Raw genomic sequence first — 23,946 nt, forward strand, 5'->3', positions numbered from 1 at the left:
CCAAAACCTCATTCACCTGGAATCACACACATGTTAGGGCTGGAAGAGACTCAGTCCCACCACCCTTAATTCAAGCATGAGGAAACTGAACCCAGAGAAGACAAAGGACTTGTTTGAGGTCACCCAGCCTCGTAACAGGCAGGGCTGGGGCTAGAACCCAGGATAAGGGTCTGAGTTCACGTGGACTCTCAGTCCTGGGACACCAAGCCACACTTGTCACCTAATTTCATCCAGAAGTTCCCCTGCAGAGCCTGAGGTCACCAGGGATGACAAAGAGAGACAGCCAGGTTTTCCTTCCAGTCAATTATTGCCACAATAATGCCGAGTAACCAGAAACAACCATAACCTGTCAGAGACATCTCACAAGAAGAATATACTTCCCATGTGACTGGCGGGCAGGCGGGGATTGGCTGGTCTTGCTAGGCTTGTTGGGGCAGCCCTGCTTCGAGCCACTGGTCGGGCTCAGATCTGCTGCTCATGTGCTTATTCTGGGCTCACAACAAAGGGGCAGTGACTTCCGGGGGAAGCCTGATCATGGCAAAAGTGTGACAGAGCCAAGGGCAGACACTGAAGACTGGCTTACAATGGCTCACTGCACCCTTATCCCATCCCACTGGCTAAAGCAAGCCACAGGATGAAGGCCAATGTCAAGGGCTGGTGCATTACACCTAAAACAGGAGAAGCTAAAACATCACAAAGGGCATGGGTATAGAGGGGCTGAGGCATTGGGGCCAAGAATTCAATCACAGTGTGCCAGGTCACAGAGTCAAGGTGGCAGGTATATGACAGGGTGAAGGTTACTACAATATCATGCAATCTGGTTACCGCACCATTTCAACTTCAGGATCTACTCGGTGTGGAGGGGCTGTGGCGGGGGGAGCAGGGAGAGAAACTGGGAGATCCAGCTTCCATTTCAGCAGTGCTATTGGTTGTGTGACCCTGGGCAATTTTTTTCCCCTTTTGGTCTGGATTTTTGCCTTTAGAAAATGGGAGACATATCACAAGGTCGGGAGATCGAGACCATCTTGGCTAACATGGTGAAATCGTCTCTCTACTAAAAATACAAAAATTAGTGGGGTGTGGTGGCGGGCACCTGTAGTCCCAGCTACTCAGGAGGCTGAGGCAGGAGAATGGCATGAACCTGGGAGGCAGAGTTTGCAGTGAGCCGAGATCGTGCCACTGCACTCCAGCCTGGGCGATAGAGAGAGACTCCGTCTCCAAAAAAAAACAACAACAACAACAAAAAAAAAAAAAACAAAAAAAAAAAGAAAAGAAAAAAGAAAATGGGAGATATAAATTGTTGCCATTAGCTCTGGGTTTCAGGGCGTAGAGAAGAAAACAGAAGGGGGCCCTTTTCTAGCTTGCATAAAGGGCCAGAGGTCCACTTCGAATGGTTTGGGAAGAATCATAACTAGATGTGGCCAGACAGGGCTTTTGTCCAAAAAACTCATTTGTTCACCGACAAGCACGTATTACATTTCTACTGTGTGCCAGACAATGCACAGGACACCAGGTGAAGTTCCACAGAAACAGTTCTGAAAAGGAGAAACTGTCTTCCTTGGGTATGCAGTCAAGGACATGGTCAGTAATTATAAGTGCTTACATGGCCCTACTATGCATCAGGTCCCCTTTGAGGCACTTTGCATGTATTAACCTCTTGAATCCTCATGACAACCCTGTAACACATATGTGTGTTACTCTTGTTTCCTTATTTTCCAGGTGGAGAATAAGGCACCAAGCATTAAAGTGATTTGCCTAAGGTCATCTAGCTAGAAAGTGACCAAACCTGAATCTGAATCCAGGCAAGTTGGTTTCAAAGTCTGTCCTTGAACTACTCCACCATTCTACTTCTTAGAATGCCAATGTGGAATGAAAGTGTTGATGGCATGTGAGGCTTACAGAGGAATGTGGCTACCTGTGGAGTGGTAGGTCTAGGCAGGCTTCCTATAGGGGCGACTCTAAGCTGTTATTTGAAGTAGAAGTCATCCAGGAGCAGTGAGTGGGAAGAAGGTACAAGGTGGAGGGAAGAGCATGAGCAAAGGCCTGGAGGTAAGGGAGGGCATGAGGCAATTGAGCAACTGAAGGTAGCTTTCAGGGGTGTGTCTGGGTGTGGGTCAGCACCACCTCACACCCAGATCAAGTGCAGAGGGAAAAGGCACACCCTTCTCCATAGTCACAGGCTCAAGAACAATGTCTGGAAGGGACTGCAAGACCTGCTGATAGTTGTCCTTTGGATCAATGACAAAAAACATGAAGAAGCCTCAGTTCACTCAAAGCTGGAACCCAGCCCAGAAGTAAACTGGGAGCATCTGTCTCTGGCACCCCCTGCCTCCTCTTCATAGCAACCACCTCTTCCTCCTCTTCCAACCCAAGGGGAAGAAGAGTAAGGTGCTCATGACCTTGAGTTATGGACTCTTGCAGCCCACATCTCAGCTCTCCAGCTTTTTAGCTCTGTGACCTTGGGCACATTACTTAACCTCTGTTGGCCTCAGTTTTCTTGCATAAAATGAATACTATTATACTAACAATAGTGCCTACTCCCTCAGGTCTTTTTGAGGACAAAATGGGGAAATACATATAAAGTGCTTTAAAGGCCTCCTGATATGCAGTAGGCACTCACCAAAGATTGGTCATTTTTAGTATTCCCAGGGCATCTGGGTTCCCTTTTTTACCCTGTTGACATGCCCACCTCACCCCATCCCAGCCAAGATCATCTGAAACACTAAGATGTTTGTGTCTGAAATAGTCCTTCTTCTAGAGTCATTTGTATAGAAAAGAATTTCAAGGAAAGAGGATATAAACCACCAAGGAACAACTTGCAAATGGCAGCCAAAGCTAAAATGTTGAGGAGTTACTCTGGCTGGATGTGTATGTGTGTTTGTGTGTGTGTGTGTGTGTGTGTGTGTGTGTGTGTGTGTGTGTTGGAATGGAGTACACATGTCCATTTCCTTGCATCTCCAGAACTACAATATATGGGCACACATCTCCTCTGATTGAACATAAACTTGGCTCTTTCCAGAATGGTTAGAGGAAGTCTGGCCCTTCCGGACACGTGGTGAAATGTCCAAGAAACCAGAGTGAGGGAAAGACTGAGATCAGAAACAGCATTCTCCAGGGGTCTCCGCTTTAGGTGAAAGGAAGAGGTGGGCTGGTCCCTGCTACCTGGCTCCATCGAGAACCAGACATGCTTCATCATGTTTAGATGGACTCTGCTAATTCCAGCATTCTCAACTGCTCAGGGGCTGATTAAGCAGAATCCCTCCTACCCCAGATCTGTGCCATCAGAATCTGCACTCTAACAAGATCCCTGGTGACTCACAGACATATCACGGTTTGAGAAGTCCTGTTTTAGAAAGTTGAGCCAGGTAAAATGTGCCATGAGCACTTTAAGAGGAGTCAGTAAGTCAGGTGTGAGGTTGCAAGAAGTTTCAAGAAAGTGTCAGAGATAGGGGTTTAATGAATCAATGGAAGAAAACCAGAAACTCTATGGGGGTCTGTTTCTGGAATGAAGTGAATATGATGGATAGAGGCGAGAGGGCCAGTAGGCTGTGATGCAGCTTTTGCAGGGAAAGAGGTGTCTCTGAGATTCCCAGAAGCCTCACTGCCCAGCTGGCAATGCCAACCTCTGTGGCTCCTTACAAACCTCACTGGGCATAGAGGGTCTTCCTCAAGCAGCAAGGTGGGGCAAGCTTGAGAAATTGCACAGCGAAGATCCCCAGCGAGCTAGTCCAGGGCCACCCAGGGAGCCCTCAGCCCACAGATAAAGCCCGAAGTAGGAGAAAATTCAGCAGAAATTTACCTGCCTCTCCAGCACAAGAGACAGGAAGCCTGCTGGGCTGGTTTCTCTCTGCCACACATGCTACAGCCTCTCTGAGGTGGTTTCCACATCTAGTGATCATGCCCAGAATCCTTATGAAGCTCAAATGAGTAATTTGACAGGAGCTATGAAAACTTTGAAAGCGTAGCCACCCCCACCCCACAATTGAACTTGTAGGAGGAGTCTGACCTTGTAGCCAAGAACACCACTCACTGGAGTTGGCCTGGATGCTCATAAGCAGGGGACTCTGTGCATCGGTGACGGTTTATCGTGGTGCATCACCACAGAAAGCATCATTTATTCATTTGCACCATGGAAAGACAGCCACGATAAATCAGAAGAGAACCCGGAGCAGAGCTCAGAAACAGCATTGTTGCGAAATAACTAGAATTTTTTAAGGATCTGAAAGGACATGCACAGAACCAGGTGTTACTCTGGTTAGTGGGATTAGGACAGTGTTTCCACTTTTTAAAAAAAATTGCCCCTAAATTGCCCCACCCATGAAAATTTAAAACCATAGCTATACTCTATATCTGTTAATATAGTGTATATGTATCTGTGCTTTATGCATATTTTTTTAAAGTTAGATTTTTTTTTGCCTGCTCCAAGAACCAATTTTCACCCCCTTGGCTGTGATATCACCTCTGTTGAGAATGCAGAGATGAGAAGGGACAAATGCCAGGCTTTTCCCTTATTACTATTATTTGCTTCTTGATATCTAAAAAAATAGTAGTGAATACTTATATAGCACTAAGCACATGCCACACACTACTCTAAGCACTCTACATATTTTTAATCATTTAAGCCTAACAATAGCCATGAAGTTAGTGCTGTATTATCTCCATTTTATGGTTGACGAAGCTGAGGTCTAGAGACAGTAAGGAACTTGCCGCAAGTCACACAGCTAGTAAGTGAGGGAACCAAGATTCAAGCCATGGTAACCTGGGTTCAAAGTTGGTGTTTAAATGAAATATGAGTGTATATTGCATTTGCAATTAAAAGTAATAAATAAAAGTTAGAATGAGGGTGGGTTCTCTGTCTGTTAAATGGGTTAATGCAGGTGAAAGTATTTTTAAAGCTTGGTTTGTAAACATAGAACTATATTCATTATTATGATTAATGTATGAATACTACCACTACTATTACACTAATAAAATTAAGTCCAAATAAAACCAGAAATGAGTCACAGCCACACTTGAGGATTTAATATCAAGTCTAGGGGTGAGAGAATTTTGTGAATTTTGTGAATCCACAAAAATCCAGAGGCAGAATGAGAGCTCTCCTTTAATTAAGATGAATCAGAGCATGGGCAGTTGTGGGGAGGAACCTGGAGGCAAAATATTTAGGCAGCTGCAAAGCGTTCAGATGGCAGCCCCTGCTGCTGGAGCGGTTCCCAGCTCATGCCCTCCTCTGCTCAGCCCCCCAGGGTGTGCTGCAGCTGGACGGATCAACCCTCCACAGGGAGGAGTCACCCAGCTGGAGGGTGGGAAAGGGATCCCGAGGGTTCCATGCTTTGCCCATGCATAGAGTAGATACAAGTGAGGTTGCTCTTAGGAAATGAGGAAGGGGGTCCCAGAACCCTACCTGTTCTGCCACATCCTCCTCCCACCTCATACATCATTCTTGAATCTTTGGGGTCCAAACAACACAGTTCAAAGACCACTCATCTAGTCAAAAACCTCATTTTACAGATGAGAAAACAGAGGCTCAGAGAGGGTATGTCAGTTGTCGAGGGCCACACAGCAAGTTGGCAATGAGGTTAGAACTGGAACCCTCCCTCCTGGCTCTCTGGTCACCAAGCCTAACTGCATAATACAATACCTCCGGGTATTGAAAAGATGAGCTAGTTTTCCTCCTCTGGGCAACCTTGGTGGAAAGGAATATCCTTCAAGTTGTGTCAACATTATTTGCTCACTCTAGGGGCTCTGACTACATAGCTGATTTTTTTTTAAGATCTTTAGCTGAATCGGTCTGACCTTGTTAGAACCCTTACTGGAATCTTTTCCCAGTGTCCTATTCACCAGTATTTCTTTTCATTGAGCTAACTTAGAATAACCTAGAACAAAACAGAAAATGAAAACATGCATGGAATTTCCATGCATGCAAAAGACAGTTTGGTATCTTTTTTTTTTTTTTTTCAGACTGGATCTCATTCTGTTGCCTAGGCTGGAGTGCAGTGGAGTGATCACAGCTCACTGGAGCCTTGACTTCCCAGGCTCAAGCAATCCTCCTGCCTCAGCCTCCCTGGAAGCTGGAACCACAGGCATGCGTCACCACGCCTGGCTAATTTTTTAAAATTATTATTGGTAGAGACAGGGTCTCTCTATGTTGCCCAGGCTAGTCTTGAACTCGTGGTCTCAAGCGATCCTCCTGCACTGGCCTCCCAAAGTGCTAGGATTACAGGCATAAGCCACCATACCTGGCCCAGTTTGGTATCTGTGAAGTTAAAACCACTAAACTAAGAATCTTACGAGGGATGGATTCAATGCCACTTGTTCATCTCTGAGGTCACCCTCACAGGACACATTTGCCACTACAGCTCTGAAGCAATCTGCCCTTGATGAGACTCGTAGGTATCAGAGAACACCTGGCATTGCTATGGCAGCTATTGGTGTGCAGGTTCCTTCTCTCCCTTCCTGGGCCTGTGCTATTAATTGGCTGTGGTACTCTTCCCTGCGAGTCCGTGGCCCAACCTGAGAATCCTTCTCAACACAGTGCCCTAAATAGCTGTTTTCATCTATCAGTGTTGGCCCTCCAGACAAAGTCCACTTGTTATTCTTGACCTTATCTAACACCTCCATTTTACAGATGGGGAAACAGAGCCCAGGGAAGCTAATTATACCAGTTGACCCCCAACTCCCCACAGATTAATAAAGTCCAACCATAGGACCCCCACGATTTTGTCCTCCTCTTACTTATTATTGACTTGTATGTCTTATGAGGGTTTAACTCAGACCCCTGTCACCCAGCTCTTGACTCTGCACTACTGATCCTGCCCTGAGCCTTGAAATTAGTATTTGATTCTGCATAAGTTAGGCAAGCTGTAGTAGCAGACCCAAAACATGATGTTTCAAACACCACTGACCTTTACTTATCCTTATGAAACAGGCAGATGTTTCTAATCAGTGGCCGCTTCCCTCCATGTGGTGATTCAGGAACCTCATCTCTTTCAGTTGTGTGGCTCCTCCATCTCCTTGGGTCTTGTCATCTGCCTGCAGCCAGAGGAAAGGGGGAGAGAGCATGGAAGGACATACTATTTCCACACATCCTTGGCCAAAAATACTACACTCAACTTCTACTTTCATTCCATTGATGAGAGTCAGTCACAAAGCCAGAGCTAACAGTAGGGGATGTGGAGGAATGGGGCCCAATTCTGTGACCAGGAAGAAACAGAAGGAATGGGAGAGAGGAGGAAGAAGGTGAAGGAGGAAGAGAGGAGGAGGAGGATGGGGAGAAGAAGATGAAAGAGAAGAAGAAGAAAAGTGGACGGGGACTTTTAAATAGAAAACAATCTCCACCACAGATGATTAGCAACCCCTAATGAGTTCATTTGACTCACTTTTTTTTTTTTAATTGGACACGCCATTCTTGGTTCTAAGTCTCAGAACTGACTCAATCTTCTATCTTTTTTCCTAATTGGACACTCCATTCCTGGTTCCAGTTCTTAGAACCTAATCTGAACTACCAAACCAATGTCCGCCCACAACTTAGAGTGACTTGCCCAAGTTCACACAACAAGATGGGACAGAATCATGACCCCAGGACGATTATGCTTCAAAGATTAATTGAATAAACCTGTTTTTAGCAGTAGTATCTCTAACACTTAGAATATTATAAATAAGGTACAACAACAGCCTGTATTTACATGAGGGAAGAAAAGCCTTTTTATTTTTCCTAATTTTCTTATTACATTTAAATCTGTTTCCCACAGCCATTCAGTCTTTGGGTCTACTCAGGAAGTCTCATTTGTAAGAGGAAAAACAAAGATGAAAACTGGAGAAAGAAGAAAAGCCCAGGTCCAATACTTAGCAGGTCCTCAGTAAAAGTGTATTTATTAATTTGAATTGAGCTGTGCTTGCATCAGTGTAGGACCTGTGACCAGGAGCAAAATAAAGAAGCAAAACTACTGGTGAGTTTTCATTTTTCTTCGTATTTAAAACGTTTTTGTTTTTCTTATTTCTAAAGCCATATTCTTCGGATTTAGAAAATTTAGAAAATATATAAACATAAGAAAGAACATTAAACTCTCTCATTACTCACCACCCAGGAATGGCCACTTTTAACGTATTGGTGGGCATTCAGCCATATTTTATACACATAATACTTAATAAAAACAGGGTTTAGGGCTTTTAAGAGATTTTGCATAATTAAGCAAAAGTGACTGAGTCCCACCCTGCTTCTTGGGAACCCACTGATGTTTTGCAAGCTATGCTTGATGAAATCTTCGAGCACCAGGGCAAACTCGTGACCTACATATATTCTTAATATGCTAATTTTTGTTTTGGTTTCTGAACAAAACTAGTCTTTTAAAGAAAAATTTAACAGATTTGAAACCAGAAACCCTGTCCTCCCTGGAGGCATTAAAAAATGCAAACTGAAGGCTTCCCGTGTGTGGAGGCTATTACTGATTTCCTTCCAAAAACAGGAGAAGTGTTGCCCTGGCTGTAACGCTTGAGGTCCCAGAGCCAGAAACTGTTTGCTTTCTGCGCACTCATTAACCATGGTGTGGGATCCAATGACTGCTCTAATTTCCTACTTTAAATGTTTTTCTTTCCCCCCACTTTTCAAAAATGTCTTTTTATGTTGTACATTTACATACGCATATTCAGCCACTTAACGCTGATAGGCTGGTCGCTGTCAGACACAATAAAAAGAGACAGAAACCACTGCGAATTACAGTAGCATTAGTGTTGAAAATGGAAATTTAATTTCCAGAAATGAACCTCAGCAATAAAAGCTCCCTTTGTTGCTGCTCAGATCAGAAATGAATCGGGTCTGAAAGGAAGCTAACGTGCAATTAAAAACATCTCAAAGAGGTATTTGTTATGTGTGAGAACAGATGCCTTGTAATGGTGTTTGAAACACAGGGGCCCTCAATAAATGTTTCTGATGAGTATGAAGATAATAGTAATGCCTTACATGTGTATAGTCCTTTTTGGTTTACAAAGCACTTTTCGTTTCAGGTCTTATTTGGATTTTCACAGGGAGCCTGGGAGAACCTCAATGCAGGTGTGGAAACTGAGGCTGGAAGAGAGGAAGTCACACAGTCTCCCCAAGGTGACCTGGAAAAACTAGAACTAGAATGAGGCCTTTATACTTCAAACGACACTTGAAATGATGAAAATATCTCAAGCTTCCAACCAGCACTCTGGAGTACCATGTTCACCGACACCGTGGGGTGATGAAGCCATGTTTTGAAATATTGTCCCGAGCCTCCTTGGTCAGTATTTCCTGCCAGCCCTGCTCTTCCTCACACTCTGACAGCAGTGACTGGCATTTTAGGTGACTGCCTTCAGGGTTCAGAAGGGAAAGAGAAAGAAAACATTTTCAAACTCTGAGTTTCGAAATGGATGTTGCAAACTCAAGGCAAAAGCAATAGTTTGAGGGGAATGGTTCTTGAGCCTCCAAAACCTGAAGTTTCGTGGCTTGAATATTAAAAGGTGCAGCCCTAAATGTCATGAACAAGAGGTTTAAAAGCAAACAAGATCAGCCAGGGCCATCCCCCAGTCCAGTGCAAGTTAAGACCTTAGGGGTAGCTACAGAACCCCCAGAGAAGGGAAGGATCCCAGAGAAGAATCTCTGTGGCTCTGTTCCTGGGTTGATACCAGGGAGGCAGCAAGCCACTTATTGTTTTCTGGGGAAAATACGAATTGAATAAATTTATCCTAAGTTGACTAACTGTTGCCACCACATATTAAATCAAAAGAGAAACAATGGATTGTCCAATATACAAAGCTGGAACCACTACACAAGCAATTGAAAGAAAAATATAATAGTCCATAACTCATACCTGGAAAATTAAAACTTGATCAAATATTTAATTTTTTTAAAAAAGTAAGCCATAACAATTCTAGAAGAAAACATTGGAAAATGTCTTTATCATCTTGGAGGGTCAAAGATCTTTCTAATTATGGTTCAAAACTAAGATGTCATTAAAGATTGATACATTTGATGAAATAAACATTTTTAAAAATTTTTGCAAGCCTCTCTCAGAAAAGAAAAGGAAAGGGAAAAATACAACAATTATCTATGGGAGTAGATAAGAAAAAGCCCAGCCGTTCAATAGAAAAATAGACATGGGAAATATAACTGACTTTTATTGAAAGTACATTGAGCTGCTGTTTTTTATCTATAAGATTGGCAAGAATCCAAAAGTTGTCTAAATACATTCTGTTGTCAAGGGTACTGTAATAGGCATCCCTCATTCATTATTAGTATAACAATAAATTGCACAATGCTTATAGAGGGTAAATTGACAATATTTATTGTAATTACAAATGTAGACACCCTTTGACGTAGTAATTATAATACTGGTAACTGATCCTGAATGTATGAACTCATGGAGAGGAGTAACATAAACACATGGTTACCCATTGCAGCATAGTTTATAATATCACAAGAGTGAAAGCAACTCAAATGTTCACAATACAAAGAAAGATTATGTAGTTATAATTTTTTAAACCTAAGAAATTATCCTAAGCACTAATATAGAAAGATTCTCCAAATACTTTGAGTGAAAAAAATCAGTGTGCTATATTTTATTTGGGAGAATAAGAAAACAAACTTATATTCATCTGAATGTACAAAAGACATTTGGAAGGCACACGAGAAACAAATAAAAGTAGATGTCTGGAGGGATGATAAGAACTGAATAGACTGGGGACAGAATTAGGGAAAAAAGTTACTATATTTTAAAAAATAGTTTACTTTGTGAATTTGTCAGTGTATGAACGCAATAATATTTGATGATGCATTAAAAATTGAGTATCTAATGAGAAAGTAGAGAATACAACACTGTCCAAATATATTTGACCAAAAAACCTTTTCTTCTGGAATACTTATGGAATTGCTGCTCTAGATCAATCATGGATCCAAATTTATGCAGTTTTGGACAGAGATGACCTTTTTATTCAAGAACTCAGTGTCATCTGCCTTCAGAAGGAACTATGAGATTTCTACAGCTGATCATGACAGAATAACTGGTTCCAGATTTTACCAGACTTTTCCTCATACCTGGAAAATTAAAATTTGATCAAATATTTAATCTTTTAAAATTAAATATTTTAATTTATTTAAATTTAATTTAAAATTAAATAAATGAGCAGCACTGTTGTCAATGAGAAAACTCGAAGGAAAAACAGTACATGAATCAACTGTTCTCAGACATTGAACAACAGGCAGTGGAGAACTGTGGGATCCCTGAATAGTGTTGCCAAATTTAGCAAATACAAATACAGGAAGCCCACTCAAATATGAATTTTAGATAAACAATGAGTAATTTTTAATATGAGTATCACATGCAATATTTGAGACATAATTATATTAAAAGTTTTCATTGTTTATCAGAAATTCAAATTTAAATGGGTGCCCTGTATTGTATCTGGCAACACTATTCCTGAGAGAAGAGAAATCTGAGAAGTGAGAACCCACCCCAGCTTTCTACCTGGGGGCACTTTCTGGCCACAAAGTAGGAAGGGGGAACAAATCAGTAACAAAATATACCTGACAAAGCTTCAGATGTATGAAAATTAAACATAACCTAAATAACCTATGAATCAAGGAAGATATTAGGAGAAATATTGGAAAAGTAGATTGGATTAAATGATAATGAACATGCAACATATGAAAATATATAGCCTGCAGATAAGGCAGAGTTTAGAGGAAAATGTCTAGCTTTATATGCTAAACTAGAAAAGGAAAAAAGTCTACAGTTTATACCCTAATAAATTAGAGGAATAAGCAAGATATTAATCCCAAAGTAAATAGAAAGAAGGCGAAAAGAATGGACATCAGTGAAATAGAAAATATGCAAACAAAAAAATGATGAAATAAAAAGTTGGCTCTGAAAAGATCAATAAGTGTGATCAATTGCAAGCTAGACTATTCAAAGAGAAGGGGCTAGAGAGAGAATAAAGAGAAAGGGAAAAGAAGAGGGCGAGAAGAAGAAAGAATATAAATTACTAATATTGGGAATGAAAAAGGAGACATCACTATAGTTCCTAGAGACATTTTTTAAGAAATAGGCTGGGTACAGTGGCTCAAGCCTGTAATCCCAGCACTTTGGGAGGCTGAGGCGGGAAGATTGCTTGAAGCCAGGAGTTCAAGACCAGCCTGGGCAACAGAGCAAGATCCAATCTTTACAACAACAACAACAAAAATTTAAATTTTAATTAGCCAGGTGTGGTGGCACACACCTGTAGTCCAAGCTACTTGGGAGGCTGAGTTGGGAGGATCACTTGAGTCCAGGAGGTTGAGGCTTCAGTGAACAGTGATCTCACCACTGCACTCTAGCCTGGGCAACAGAGCTAGATCTTGTCTCAAAAAAAAAAAAAGAAATATTTTAACAACTTTATGTTAATACTTTTGACAGTTTAGATGAAATTGACAAATTCCTTGATAAATTGCACTGAATATTGACACAAGATGAAACAGAATATCTAAATGGTTCTATATCTTTTAAAGAAATTGAAATCTTCCCACAAAATAACTTTAGGCCCAACCGATCCCACCGATAAATTCTCCCAAACATTTAAAAAGAAAATAATACCAATTTCATATGAACTCTTTCAGAAAATAAAAGAGGAGAGAATATTTTCTAACTCATTTTATGAGATCAGTATTACTTTGATAACTAAAGTCACTCAAAAACATTTTTTAAAAAAGAAAATTGTGTAACAATACTCCTATTGAATATGAGGATAGAAATTCTTAACAAAATGTTAGCAATTGAATCCAGCAACATGTAAAAAGGGATTATACAATACCATCAAGTAAAGTTTATCCCAGGAATGCAAGGTTGGTTTAACATTTGAAAATTAGTGTAACTCAGCATTCTAACAAAATAAAGCGGATAAAAACTTACATGTTTATTTCAACAGATTCAGAGAAAACATTTGAGAAGATTCAACACCCATTCATATAAAAATTCTCAAGGCATCTGTGAAAGGACATCTGTGAAAAATCCTCAGCTAACATAATTAATGGTGATATACTAAACACTTTCCCTCTAGAATTGAAAACAAGACAAATTCTCACTTGTATTCAACATTGTACAGGTGATTCTAAACAGTCTACTGGTACAAAGAACTGAAATAAAAACATATGCAGGTCGGAAAGGAAGAAGTAAAAATGCCTTTCTCCATAGCAAACATGATCATGCAAGTGGAAAATCTAAAAGAATTACAAAGAAAAGTACCAGAATTAAGGCTATGAAATGTCACTTGAGGAAGCTACAATCAGTACAGCAGGATTCAAGAGTGGATCCGAATTACTTGGGGGTAAATAGGAACTATAACACAAGTGAAGGACGTCCTTCATGCTCACCCACGTCTCCCAACCCACAGCCTCTGACACAAAGAGCTCAGACTTTAAGAAGCCATTCGGTTCCCTCTAATGTCAGGTTCCCATCCAGCTAGAGCCCAGGCACATTGCTGGAGAAAGCAATCAGCAGTTTTAAACTGACTTTGTACACCTGTGTTAATAATTGCTGAAGCTGTAGATGGACACATAGGGACTCATGATATCATTTCTCTACATCTGAATTTTGTAAAATTTTTCTTAATAAAAAGGCAATTTTTGATTTGATTATTATTTCTGTTTGCCTGGCAAAGCACTGGTTTGAATAGAGCACTAGATTGGTCAGCTGAATTAAGACCTGACTAAACTATTAACGTGCTGCCTGATCTTAGGCAAGTCTGTTTCTCCCTCTGGGCTTCAGCAACTAGAGTTGAAATGAGAATGTGAATTATATTACTGTTTTTAAACTGTCACATGGGGGCTTTTGCTTCCCAGAGATTGTTTTATAGGCAGTGCTAGCACAGGTTAGGGGTGGGGTTGGCATAGGAATGGGGGCATGAATGTGCACCGCTCAACAATCCTGCTTTTATCTGCCTTGTCTGTGTCAGGCTTGCATCAGGGTACTATTTGTTCGTTTTGTTTGATTTCCCTCCCTCAGACTCTGCCATGGGCCATTTTTCAGTCCCCAGTTGATACTAAAGCAGAAAAACATTTCTGGTTGCAGAGTACATTTTTCTGCTCCAAAGACTAAAGAAGGGGGATGAGGGGAAGGAAGAGGAAATCAGTGGGTGACTCAGACAGAGGAGGTTTTTCAGGGAGCAGCATCCTCTAAAATGGGGAGGAGATGAGAGCCCTTCTGACCATGGATTACATACAGCACAGAAAGAAAAGAAATCAGCCTGCCGTCACTGGCCAGTGTAGAACCCCCATCCCCATGTCCATAGTTATTTTCAATGTTTGTCCTAGAATTGAATGGTGGATCCATTTTTCCCAATAATCTGGGATTTGTCAAAAGTGTTGATGTGGGTCCGGGGCTTCTCCCATCAGAGGTCGGCCTATTTCCCCTCACCTTGCCGCTGGGCTGGCCTAGAACTTCTTTGGCCAATAAAGTAGAGTGGAAGTGACACTATGCCAGTTCTGGGTATAGCCTTTAAGAGGACTGGCAATTTCTTTTTGTTTTTCTTCAAGCCTTGAGCCTCCATGTAAGAAGTCTAGCTAATCAGCTCAAGAGACCATGTGGAGAGGCCCTGAAACCACATGGAAAGGGGAATGGGTCTGGTGGACCCAGCCTTCCAACCATACCACCAAGGTGCCAGAGATGTGGGTGAACCATCTTGTCTCCTACAGACCAGCCAGTTGCCAGCTGAACATCACTGAGGGATTCCAGCCAATGGTGAAATGAAGGCGTCTCTCACCTGAACTCATCCAGGGCTAATGGAATACAACAGAGAATGGGGTTGGAAAATACTAGCTCACCGCTACGTCAAATAGCCCTTGAACTCCAGCAACCATGGAGCGTCAAATCATTCCCTGGGAAATCCCCCCCTCAAGAAACTTCTGTGGGTGGCACAGAGCACCTTGGCTGGTACGGACCTCAGTAATGTGGGAAGTGACCAGGCTCATCTGAGACTCTTGCCACAAACCTGGAATGCATGTCTTCATTTATTTTGAAAAGCTTCAGGACATTTTCTCTCCCAGATGTTAAGCATTACATGGCAAAGATGATAGAAACAGGCCTAATGAGCCTTTGATTGTTGTATACGCCATGATGCTGTGCTGGAGGAGGTTGAAGATGGGAGACTGGGTCCTCAAAGAAATACTCACAAGTCCTCCCCATCCTTCCAGGAAGAGCCCACCCCTCTCTCAACCATCAGCAAGCCCAACTGTTTTTAATTCCAACAAGTTGTTTTCTTTTATCATTAATTTTGACAGTAGAAAAAAACCCTTTGATATCAAAGAAGGCAGGACTACTCGAAATTATTATTTTTATTAGATTAGTAATAGTGGTGGTGATAAATTGGACCGAGCAAGAGTTGATGTAATGAACCCTCCTGGCCCCAAGCACAAGGCTGTCATCTCCGTTTACCTTGCTTCTTCATTCTGGCCTGGGTTATAAGTGATTGTGTGTCTGTCTCTCTCCCCTCTGGATTTGTCAGCACCTGGAGGGTACAGCCCTTGTCTCATTCACTTTTCTACCTCCCAACTCCCCATGGCAATAAGCACAGAGAGGTCCTTAATCAACGCACCGGATAGGATATTCAGTAAAACCTCAATTAGTTGGAAACCTCATTGAACTGAGTTTTATAAATGACTGTCCACTGGGAGGAGGACAAAGCGAATGTGAGAAATAAGCTCCAGGATAAGATGGTTTCTGTTGCTTTTTTGCTTTTGTCTTTAAAGCATTTTTTTAAGAGATGGGGTCTCTCTGTGTTGCCCAGGCTGGACCATAGTGGCTGTTCTCAGGTGCAGTCTCATTACTGATCATCACTGGAGTTTTGAGATGCTCCATTTCCAACCAGCTGGTTCATCCCTCCTTGGGCAACCTGGTAGCCCCCCCTCCCTCCTGAGAGGTCACCATATTGATGCTCAATTTAGTGCAGACACCTGATGGACATTACACACCGCAGCCTAGGACTCCAGGGCTCAAGAATCCTCCTGCCTCAGCACCCTGAGTAGCTGAGACTACAGGTGCGCACCACCACACCACTTTTTAAAGCATTCTTAAGGGTAGGCCTGGGGTCTGCACGTGGTTAGCTGAATCATCACAAAATATACTTACCCTCCCCAGGCCTGATTGAAGCGTGTAGTAGTCTCTTTTCATACTGCTGATAAAGACATACCTGAGACTGGGTAATTTATAAAGTAAAAGAAGTTGAACGGACTCACAGTTCCACGCAGCTGGGGAGGCTTCACAATCATGGCAGAAGGCAAAAGGTACATCTTACATGACAGCAGACAAAAGAGAGAGTGAGAGCCAAGAGAAAAGGGAAACCCCTTATAAAATCATCAGGTCTCGTGAGACTTATTCACTACCACGAGAACAGTATGTGGGGAATCCGCCCCCATGATTCAATTATCTCCCCCCGGATCCCTCCCACAACACGTGGGAATAATGGGAGCTGCAATTCCAGATGAGATTTGGGTGGGGAGACAGCCAAACCATATCAAACCTAGTTCCTCTTTCACCCTGCACATGATGGGGGCAAACAGAGAAACAGTTTCAGACATTGAATAAAGGTTATCCTGGGGCCTAGACATTCATTCAGCAAGTGTCCATCCACCACTTACTATGGGCACTTACTGTTCAAGGCAGTGGATATGTAACACTGAGCTCACAGCTTGAGTGGGGAAGGAAGACAGATAATGAACAAGGAAACATACAAACAGGTGCCATGTCAAGTGATCCTAAGGGCTACTCTGAAAAATAAAGCAAATTAAGGGAGTAGCTGGGGAGGGGGGTTGTTCCTGAGAAAAGGGAGCTAGGTAGGCCTCCAGAATGTGAATGAAACACACATATAGCTGAGGGAGGAGAGTTCCAGGAAGAAAGGCAAGTGCACAGGTGGGAGAGTACTTGGGAGTTTGGGAAAGGCATTCTGAGTGTCTGGAGTGAGGTGAGGCAGAGGGAGGATAGGAAGAGATAGACCAGAGAGGGAGGCAGGCTGCCTGCTGCTATAAGGAGTTAGGATTTTCCTCTGAATGAGATGGGTTTTGAGCAGAGGTGTAACATGATCTCATTTGCATCTTAAATGCCTAATTCTGGCTTCTGCCAGAACAACAGACTGAGGGGCCAAGAGGGAGAGAGGAGGTAGGAGGCCAGGTCGGAGGCTGCTGCAGGATCCAAGCAAGGGCATGATGTGACTGTGACCTGCATAGATGGGCATGGGGAAAAGGAGTCATTTTCCAGATCAATTTTGATGGCAAGCAGAGGGAGATGAGAGACACAGTAGTTAAAGATGACTCTGAGGTTTGATCCTGAGCACCTGGAGGGTCAGTGTGGGAGGTGGAGGTGTGAGGTGGGACAGGGGAGTTAACCTGTGAATCTAAACATCTTCCCATGTTTAAATAAAATGAGGTTATTACTCACATTGAGGGGCTGTTGCGATGAGCAAATGATGTGAGTGAAGGCAGATTTAAACCTAGCTGCATTATGTCAAGGTTAATCTTTACTCCCCTGTCATTTTTACTTGGCGTCCATGCCATATTCTTTCAAGCTTTCTTACCTATTGCTTCAGAACCTTGGTTTCTTTCCAGCAGACAAATCAGAGTAACCCTGGGAGAGTTTTCATTTTACAGATGCCAGGTCCACCCCTCACCTGTGAATGGGAGGTCCTGGCAAAGGCTGTGGGCTTGGGCACTCCCAGGTGTGTCTGCCGTGCACTCGGCTCAAGAACTGGAGCTTGGCTGGGCATGGTGGCTCAAGCCAGCACTTTGAGAGGCCAAGGTGGGAGGATCACTTGAGGCCAGGAGTTCAAAACCAGCCTAGGCAATATAGTGAGATACGTCTCCACTAAAAATAAAAAAATAATAGCTGGATGTGGTGGTGTGTGCCTGGAGACCCCGCTACTTAGGAGGCTGAGGTGGTAGGATTGCTTGAGCCCAGGAGTTTGAGGCTGCAGTGAGCTATGATTGTGCCGCTACACTCCAGCCTGAACAATAAAGAAAGACCTTGTCTCAAAGAAAGAAAGAAAGAAAGAAAGAAAGAAACTAGGGCATTAGAGGGAACAGGCAAATATGTGAAGATGAGACACAGATGAAACACAGGGTTCTAGCTTAGAAGGCTCTCTAATCGTGGAGCCCAAAAGACTTCAGTTTAAATAAATAGTATTAGGTTTATTATTAACTTAATAATATAGTAAGATTCACTCTAATAATAGAGGGAAATTTGAAGAAAGGAAAAATTTGAATATTTTTGATATTAAAAGTGAGGTTAAAGTGATTTTATATGAGAAAAAACATTTTATTGTTGTAAAGACAGTAGACTACATATTGGAATCATGTAGAAAGTCTTAATTTCTGAATATTCAGTAAGAATTGACTAACACTTTAAACAGTGTAAAATAACTGCTTTAAAAGTCATTTGTGTGTATATGTATGTATACAATATATATATCAGTGAATATAGAAAATAGCAGAAATTACTCAAACTCTTATCAGTCATATTATATGTGGTTTTTAAATGTTTGCTTTCGAAGAAGCACAAAGTAAAAATTTACCAACCACTATCACTCCCAAAAGGCAATGGCACGCTGACCTTTGCTATGAGTTTTGAATTGCCTAACTCCTCCACTGGGGGGTAGCATCTTACATTATTTCCTCTCTGACTCTTATTTCCACCTGGAATATGGGCACACAGTAATTTTGAAGGAAAGAGGCAGGGAAGTGTCTTACACGCCTGCAAATTTAGTGAGTCCTCATCCATTTGGAAGAAAAAGAAATAGATGCTCAGAAAGGTTAAGTGACTTGCCGGAGGCCACACAGCTGGAACTGCTCAGAACTGGTGCTGGGACCCAATTTTAATTGCAAGGACCAGTTTGGTAACCACAATGCAAAGTTCCTCTCTGAGTCCAAAGAAATTATTTCAATCTACCATCAAAAGAGTCCTAAAAGATCAGAGGGTCTGACTACTTATGCGAGTCTCAAAATGGTTTTGGAAACTACAAAGCACTATACAGATACAAGGAGTTTAATTGGTAATAAAATTGTATCCTGGCTGCTTCCTATGGTCCTACCAACATTGCAAACTCCTGGAAGAGGAGCTATGCCTTTCCCTTTGCTTAGAGCCCTCCTGCTGGTGCCCAGCACCCAGTGAGCCCCCCAAACATGCTCACTGAATTGTGCATCTGAATTTGTCCCCTCTGAAATCAGAGGAGGCAGAATTAATTCGGTGAGGAGGCAGAATTAATTCGGTTGCACTGTATTATTAATGTTGCTGAGACTGATATCAGTGTTGAATGCCAGAGGAGCATTCCAGCTGCCTGTCTTCTTGAATAGGAAAAGAAAGTGAGATGAAACAGTTTCGAGTTTCCCCAGTGAGGCCCTGCCTGGTGCTGATTCACTGACTTCTGTTCAGTCTCTGCACCAGAGCGTCCAGTGAATTCCAGGCCCCGCGTCTCACCAACACCACCTATGCCAACAGCTGACATGATGGGAGCTTACCAGATGCCAGACACTGTGCTGGGCTTTACATGTGTATGCTTATTTAGTCTTGCCCACACCCCAGGTCTCAGGAACTACCAAGAATCATCCTTATTTCACAGCTGAGGTTCAGAGAGGATAAATAACTAGTCTGTGGTTAAACAGTCACAAGACATACATCTGTGTTTTTAAGCCTGAATTATTAACCAGTGTACCCTCTAACCTCTGAATATCATAGATGAATCAGTACCTGACCAGTTCACCAAACTCTGGACACCAAGTAAGAAGCCCAAAATCCAAAAAAATATATAAGCCAGAAACAAAGCCTAGGAAGGAAGAATTAATACCACAATCTCAACCTCTCTGTCTCTCTCTCTCTCTCTCTCTCTCTCTCTCAGCACAAGATATTTCCTCTATATTTCATAGAATTAGTTTTGTGTATTCTGTTTGTGCACCAGGACATTGGAATGGAAAGGCAAGAAATCACTGTTACCTCAACAAATAACTAATGTAAAAAGCAAAGGACGTCATTTGAGTTATTGAAGTTCAGAAGTATTTCAGGACACATTTACCAGTGAGTTAGGCATCCGCACTCTTGGGAAACAATGCCCAGGTAATTATTTTAAATGAGCATTAATTATGTCATTATTAGAAATGGGGAGAAAATGCAATTTCCTTCTGTCACTTCTTGATATCTTAACTAGAGGAATATTTGCCATGCTATTATAACAAGTCACTGTTCGCATAATGGTGCCCAGGCAATAATACAGAGACATGTACATTTTCATATGAATATATCATGCCTAACTAATGAGATTGCTCATTTCATAACTTCAGTTCCATTTTTATTATTTCATAAAACTGGAAGTCCTTATCCATTTTATGAAAAACACCAAACCTTTGTGAAATTCATTAAATAAGCATAAAAAATTCATTAAACAAGTGAATTGCATTCAGGGCTGCTTTGATGCAAATGCCCTTTAAGCAATGTAAAACTCCATATTGATTTAACCTTTCATGTTCTGATATTTCCATGTGGATATAAAAAAAATTCTTTATTCAGGGAATGAAATTAAGTGCTGATCCCTTGATCTCCGGCTGGGCAAGATAGATTGGTCAATTTAAGTAGCTGCTGCTGATCAGCAAACAACTGAATTTAAAAGTATTAAGCCATGTCGATATTTTAAGTATTGTCACCTGCACATCAAGCAAAGAGAAAAAATTATTATTCCAGCTCAATTAAGTTTGTGTTTGCTGTCAAGCTGACCTTGAAAGGGCTACCCCATTGGGCCATGGCTTCATGCCCTTGGAAGTTGACAAGGGCAACAGTGGCAAGATGTAAAACACCAACAATAGCCTGAATATTTTGAATTGTGAGGCCAGAACAGCCACAAAATAATTAGCCTGGAGACACCATCCCCTTGGGCTGTGCTCCCTCATTAGTGGGGGGCAGTCAGTGGAGTAGGCACTAGTTCAGAGGAGGGGAAAAGGGCTTGCCCTTCACCCAAGAAATGCTTCTGGGAACCCTCATTAGGTAAAGAGCACAAGGTGGGTTTCAGAGGACTCTAGAGCTGGATGGGCTCTTTGAGATCATCTAGCCACTCATTCATTCATTCATTCGTTCGTTCATCCAAAGTCTATGTGCTGAGTACTGTGGCTGGTACTGGAGAATAAAGTGTGAGTAACATAGCTATTGACCCAAGCCTCATAGAACTCAAAAATTATGAGCAGTTTTGCAGTGAAGAAGCTGATCTCTTTGAAAAAAAATCTGATCCATAGTGTTATATGCCTGAATCAAATCTCAGTTCTGTCATTTACTAATTGTGTTGTGTGGCCTTAGGCAAGTGATTTCGTCTCTCTGAGTGTCAGCTTCTTCAAATTTCTACTTCATGAAGCTGTTGGACCAACTCAATAAGATGTTATATATAAAAACCTCAGCAGAGCAGATGGCAAGCAGTTAAGTGCCTGATAAGTGGCCATCATGATCATCATCATCACTGCTGTGATTTCAATCTGACCTTCTCGTTTTACAGATAAAGAAACTGAAACTTGAAGACCTGAGGTCGCACCAAGACTGAGTAGCAGACTGGGACTCAGAGGACCCTTTCTCATGCCAACGGTGGCTACCACAGCCTCCCACGCTGCAAGCTTTGGATTTCAATGGACTCCTGACTCAGACTGGCTTGTGTGACTGTAAAGTTTACAAACCTGCCAGACTTCAGGTGAAACATGATCCAGGAGCCCGGTGATGTCATCCGGATTTCGTTACTTGCTGTTGATTTCTCTGCTCCATTTGCTTGGTAATGACTCCAACCTTAGCAAGTTTTTCCTCTTGCAGTCCCAAGACAGCTTTCAGTACTCATATGGTTTGGCTGTGTGACCCCCCAAATCTCATCTTGAATTGTAGCTCCAATAATTCCCCTTGTCAAGGGAGGGACTTGGTGTGAGTAATTGAATCATGGGAGCGTGTGTACTTCCCCTGCTGTTCTTGTGATAGGGAATAAGTCTCACGAGATCTGATGATTTTATAAAAGGCAGTTCCCCTGCACACGCTCTCTTGCCTGCTGCCATGTAAGATGTGCCTTTGCTCCTCCTTTGACTTCTGCTATGATTGTGAGGCCTCCCCAGCAATGTGGAACTGTGAGTCCATTAAACCTCTTTCCTTTATAAGTTACCCAGTCTCTGGTATGTATTTGCAGTATGAGAACAGACTAATATAAGTACCAAGGATACTTCCTGCTTCTTTGTGTGTGACCCAGAGAGCATTTCCAGACAAAGACCTGAAAACCAATATTATCAGGGCAGCTGAAGTCACACACCCACTCCTGAGCCAATAAATGGGGCTGGTACATGGAATGTGCTGATTGACTCAGCCTGGTCTCACTCACATTCCACCTTGGGTGAGTAGTATCATCAGCCTGCCCAGAATCACAAAAATCAGTGGCTACTGGGGAAGTGGGGGATGGTGGGACAATACATGCTTGAGATTTAACCATAAACATCCTCACACAAATTTAAAAGCCACACAACACTGGAGGGTAAGGATTCTATCATATCTGACTAGTATTTATAAAAACAACGACATGAGAAAGAGTTAAGTCAGGACTCTTAACAACATACACCACTGTGAGCTCCAACTGGGTGGAGACTACACTTATCCTATTCACCAGCATCTCCCCAGGGCCTGACACTGTGAATTTGGGGTCATTGGTGGTTATGAGTGTCAGACTACTTGGTAGGAGTCTGAATCCCAGCCCTACCTCTTATATGCATGAATTCTTATGTGAAGGAGGAATAATTCAGGATCTAGCCAAAGGGTGTGTGAGCATCCAATGAAGGAATATCTGTAAAGCACATAAAATAAGTCTAGCAAATAGGAATCATTCAAAGAATGCTATTCATTATTATTATTATCAACTGGTACTTCCCAGTCCCAATCTAAGCCTTCAGTGACATTTCCCATTAAACATATTCATAGAAGGAAAAATTGCTGGCTACAACATATCCCACAGTGTCTTGACTTTTTACCTGTATCATTGATGTCCTTCTTTTTAAGACCCAAAGCAAAAGCTACCTTCTCTGTGAACCCCTTCTTCATCCCCAGAGCTGGAAGCAATCTCCCTTTGCCCTCTATTCTCACAGATCTTTCTTTCCCTTTCTTTTGGAGTCCTTGTCAGATTGTATTGCCATTTCCCTCTTACTTTTCCTGAGACACTCAGATGTTTGTGACAATGTATTAAATTCTGCCTAGAGATCAGCCCCACAGTGGTATTTCAATAGAAGACTCAGAGCAACAAGTAAGGGACTCAATCTCTGGGAATTGGGATTGGCATCTAGATGTATCTAGATTTTGAGGATTCCTTTGGTTACAAGCTAAAACTCTGACTCAAACTAATTAGCAGAATGAGAATAATAGTATGGTTGTTGCAATGAGATGGTGACGTTACTGATGCCTACAGATTCAGAGAATGGTAAGTTATTGTAATATTTGTAATTGCAAAGGACTCAGAAATTTACTAAGATGCAACACTCAGCTGAAGATAACACAGCACAAACCCACTAGGGCCTGAAAGTTCCCCAGCTGTGGAGGATGCCATCTGCATGGAGGAAAGATTCGCCAGGTGTAAGAAGCTCTGTGTGCCTATTTTATGGAGGGTGGGGCCGGTGGTTAATACCCTGCTGGCTCCTGTCTTCCCTGACTCTTCTGCAGCCTCTGGTGACTTCCCTGCTCCCTCATACCAACACATTCGTGATTGAGAGATTGGGTGAGTTGCAGACTGATTTTCAAGGATCAAGACCTAGGAGGCCCAAGCTGCAGCCAAGCCTGAGGACCTTTCCTGAAATTGAGTTCTTACTAAGTGTTCAGCTGGAATAGCTCCATGAGACAGGTGCTATTATCCTCCCCATTCTACAGTAGAAGAAACTAAGACACAAAGGGCAGTGAAGTGAGTTGTTCTAGCACCAGAGTTAGTGACCGT

The 23,946-nt window shown here is 42.3% G+C and overlaps 1 pseudogene, besides 1 other annotated feature; it reads right to left on the bottom strand.

Moving 5' to 3' along the window:
- On the bottom strand, positions 15,744-16,040 carry RN7SL841P (RNA, 7SL, cytoplasmic 841, pseudogene; annotated as a pseudogene).
- Positions 19,742-21,213: an enhancer, noted in NCBI's record as "VISTA enhancer hs151". NCBI's record gives its function as "enhancer in: dorsal root ganglion[8/12]" and the evidence as "EXISTENCE:transgenic organism evidence [ECO:0001131][PMID:17130149]".

This window comes from Homo sapiens, chromosome 16, assembly GCF_000001405.40.
Source record: "Homo sapiens chromosome 16, GRCh38.p14 Primary Assembly".
In the NCBI taxonomy this organism is placed as follows: domain Eukaryota; kingdom Metazoa; phylum Chordata; class Mammalia; order Primates; family Hominidae; genus Homo; species Homo sapiens.